Raw genomic sequence first — 4,659 nt, 5'->3', positions numbered from 1 at the left:
CGCTGTCTTGGAAGACATCTCTCCGAACAGGCTCCCCTTCAGATTGAAGGGATATGTGGTGGGTAAGTTCTTTCTTTAGCAGTTGTGGTGCCTCTGCCTTGATACCCTCCTTGGGGCCCGCAGCAGACACTCAGAAAATACATCATGGAAGGCATGTGTTTGGGAATACCTGGCTAGGGTTAGATGCTATTCATGGATATTGACCAACACCTCAGACCTCTGTAAGCCCAAATGCCCTCTCCATACCCTGATCAGGGTGATGGCCTCTGGCTGGTTCCCCTCACGTCTGAAACCACATATAGGAGAGTTCCCTCATCCATGATTATGTGTGCCCACTCACTTATTAATTTCTGCCCTCAGTGAGGAATATAAAAAAGCTTATAAACAATATAGGTGACTTAAGTGTGTGTTTCTGTTAATAATGCTGTCTCTTGATCTTGACTTGCTGCACTTGGAAATCTTTGCCCACCTTGCCTGAATGACCTCCGGCCCCTTCTAGGTAGAGGCAGCTCGTCCCAGTGGTGGAGGGTGTGGCCTCTGGCACTGCACTGCCTGGGTTTGCTTCCTAGCTATGCCACCAACTATCTTTCTGCTGGCAGCAAGTTGCTTAGCATCTCTGTGCCTCAGCTTCCCAATATCTAAAATAGGAAAAAAAATAGCACTTCTCTTCTCTGGCTATTTTGAGAATTAAATGAGTTAACACCTGTTATGTTGGCATTTGGGGCTGGATAATTATTGGCTGTAGGGGCTGTCCTGTACACTGTAGGGTGTTAAGCAACATCCCTGCCCTCAGCCCCATAAATACCAGTATTACTCTTCTCCTGCCCCTAGTAGTGGTAACTAAAAACGTCTCCAGACATTACCAAATGTCCCCTGGAGTGCAAAACTGCCCCTGGTTCGAAACTATTGCCCTAGAGTCTCAGAAAAGCTCAAGGAATTCTGGCTCCAACACCTACTATCAGTGTGGCTATGTGTTAGTTTCTTCATTAACAAAAATACCAAGCACATCATATTTTTTAAATCTTAGTTGAAATAATTCTAGTACCTTGCTTAGAACAATGCCTGACCCATAGGAAGTTTCAATAAACACCAGCTATTTTAATTACTGTTTCACCTTTTTTTTTTTTAGCCGATGAGGAAACAGAGAAGTTAAACAACTTGCCACATTCTCAGCCGAGGGTGTGGCTGAGCCAGGGTTCAAACCCAGACCATCAGCCATCGCAGCCATATGCTCTCAACCGGGCTTTCCTAAGAGGAGCACTCAGGGAGCACCCATGACTATAAATTCCTCAGGGCCAAGCTGCTTGGGGTCCTAGTGGGATGAGGAGGTTCTGAGCTCCGTGACTCTTCCCTGACGGCAGCTCAGAGCCTTCTACATCAGGGCAGCAGGGGCCAGAGCAGCTCAGCCCAGCGGCCGCAGCAGTTCACTGACATTTGACATTGTTTGTCGGCAGTCACAAGTGGTCACTATCAAGGATTACTATTTGTGTATCTGTGAGTCACAATATGCCAGATTCATCAGAGCCAGATGTCACAGTGAAACCAGATGAGGCCCTCAGACAAATCCCACGCGCTTCGTGTGTCAGGCCTATATCCATTCATAAAACAGCTCCCTCCCAAAATATAAGTCTTGAGAAAAAAGAAAAATCTGAAGTTGGTTGTGCAATTCTGAGACTAGTTGCAATTGATTTCCAAGCCTTTCCCGCAATGCCTCTCATACTTTTAATTCTGGATTATTCTTCTACGGCTCAAAGCAGAGAAGGAGACATAGTGTCCATCATTTTACCCCAGAAGAGACAATAGAAATGGAAAGACTTCAGTAGGTGAGCTCAGAATAATAACATTATTTTTGCTATTGTAAATACAAAAGCTACTGAAATATCTTGTGGTCAGAATAAGACAGACGTGCCACTAAACCCCTCCCCACTTCTTTCTTTTCTTTCTTAAACTTTGGACTGAGCCACTTTCTCAGAAGCACAGCTGAAAAACCCTTAAAAACACATGCACGCATACACACTAGTCTCAGGAGTGCGAGGTGTCTGGAGTAAGGATTAGAGAGGTTCAAGTCGGTTCCCCTTGTTAAAATTACAGCTGCACCAAAGATGGTACAGTATATCAACCCAGGGCTCAGGAAACTTGTCCAGTTCTCAAGAATGAGAAAATGCAGCTGTGCTGGATCAGACAGATTGTGGAGGGTGAAGCTTCCCTCTCCCCTTCACCACGCTGTCCAGAAAGAAAGGTCAGAGAGATGCCCAGCTGTGCCAGGCAGCATCCAGGAGGACTGGGGTCAAAGCATGTGCATTTGTCATTCTGCAACTGTTCAAAAGACAGGTACACATTTTAAACAATAACAACAAGCATGGAAAATAAGCCCTGTATTTAGCATTTTTTCATTTTTCAATTTCACATTTTCTTTTCCTCCAGGGGTTGAAATTTAATCTGTCTTTTAGCAAAATGGAGCTGGCTCTCTCTCTTCTTCTGGCTTTTTCTCCCCAGTATACTCCCAGTGCCTATCCCAGAGATATGCTCAGCTGATTATGAAGCCTGTGCATTGTCGCCGAAGCCTGTTGTCACTATGGAAATGTGTTTGAGGGCAGGTGGTTTTTTCATCTACCCTCACTTGCAAACACACACACACCTTTGCAGCCATGGTGACCCTGCTAATCTTCAAGTTCAGCACTTGTCAGGTGCTGACACAGAAGGAATCCCAATACAAAATGCACCCATCGTGGGGCGTTCATGCATGTGAGTGTGTGTGTTTGGCTCCCCTGTAAGGTTTCCAATTTCCCATGGGACCCACTATTGCAGTAATTGGAGTGATGCAACCTCATTCAGTAGCTGTTCTAAGAAACTTTGGCCCAGGGCTACACTTGTCCCTCTTCCTGAGATGTCCTCCTTGACATTTCTCCCCTCCCCAAGAGGCACTTTTGGTAAGTGAGGCAACACAAACATCATTCACCAGCTGCACACCGGCCCCTGAGTTTGACGACCTACGTTATTGGCTAGCAGAGTCATTTTTTAGTTTAACTCACATCCGGTTAGGCACAAAGATATTTTTAAGGCTACTTGGTGGGGGGCGAGAACACATCAGGGGTCACTCCAAATTCATTCCAAATCAGAGCCTCTCAGGCCAACCCCACAGAGAGCCAGAAGGAGGAAATGACTCACTCCCTGGGCCCATTGCTCTCTCGTAATATGTTAAAACTCCTTCTCCCGTGCAGAAGTCCAGGGACCATCACTGAGGTTCAGCTGCTACTTGAAGTCAAGTCCTGCCCCAAAGGCACCCATTGCCCTCCTCCTCTTAGAGGAAGCCCATGTTCTGTGGATATGTGTATGTAATGGGCCATCCTTATATGGAATAAAAAGTTGACAGAAACAGGTTTCCCAGCTTCCCACTTTCCTGTGATGATCTCTGAATGTCGGTTGGTGAAATGAGATGATTAATAAATCCCTAATAAATAGGAATCACTCATTTCCCTTACCTCACCATTCTTCAGATCCATTATTTTCAAGTGAACTGGTAGATACAGTTAGAACTGTATAACGATGCATTGTCCTTCATTGGGCCAAAATTTATAATATTTATGTACTCACTCATTTATCCATCAGGCCATCCATCTATTCAAAAATGCCTAAGTGCCCAGTCTCCAGCACAGCGAGACCAGGAGACAGATGCCATTCTAGAGCTGATGGCTGCCTGGGGTTGGAGAAAGGCCAGGGAGTAAACAAAGGCAATCCTGTGGCACCAGATCTGAGGCTTGGAAAGCATGTGAGTGGCATCAGGCAGGTGGTCAGTGCCACCTGCAGGCAGCAGGAAGGCTTCTGAGGCTGGAGGAGCAGGTATTTCCAGGCATGGAACTGGCAAAGTCACAACAGGCAATGAAAGATCTTTGAGCCATTTCACCTCTTGCCCTTACTCATGGGACTTTTTCTTCCTTGATTTCCCTAACCCAGCATGAAGGAAACTCTGGCACACAGCAGAAAGCTAGCAAAAGCCCACTGAGAGAGGTATGAGTACATTAATAGTGATGAGTAGTTAAAAGAAAGATAAATACAATAATTTTTTTAAAAAGTGAAGGCAACTGCATGGGAGGATCGGTGAACACAGGGTTGTGAATGGCTGCTTGTGGCTCACTCATCCATGGCAGACACCACTGCGCACCACGGAAGGCTTTCCAGTTGAGTTAAATGGCAAAGGACTCACAGCCCACCCTATTGGAGTATAAACTGGCACACAAAACGGAACCTACTTGCCATTTGCATTTGTAGACTATTCTTATGAGGATCTTGACCATGAAGAGTAAAATAAATAAAATCCTATAAAATATTAGAGAGGAGAATATTTTCTCTATTAGAGTCTTTGAATGTACCTGGAAAAAATATAAAATAGAATGTCTACATAGCAGTCATATCGCATATGGTAACAGCACTAAAAGAAACGGATATTTCTAGAATGCGTATAATTTTTTTCACTGTTGTATTTGTTCCTACATTCAACAAGTAATTTGGATTACCTGTGATGTGCAATGTGCTCTCTCGGAGGGTATTGTGAGGGTTATTGAATTGTGAAGATAAAGGGTCATGGGTATTGCAGAGAGAAGGATGAACTTTCCAAAGTCAGCATTTAAGAAAGATCTAAAGGACGTAGAACTGGACTTG

Source organism: Homo sapiens, chromosome 7 (genome assembly GCF_000001405.40).
Source record: "Homo sapiens chromosome 7, GRCh38.p14 Primary Assembly".
In the NCBI taxonomy this organism is placed as follows: Eukaryota; Metazoa; Chordata; class Mammalia; order Primates; family Hominidae; genus Homo; species Homo sapiens.
The sequence above is the reverse complement of the archived record's forward strand: the minus strand, read 5'-3'. Positions refer to the sequence as shown.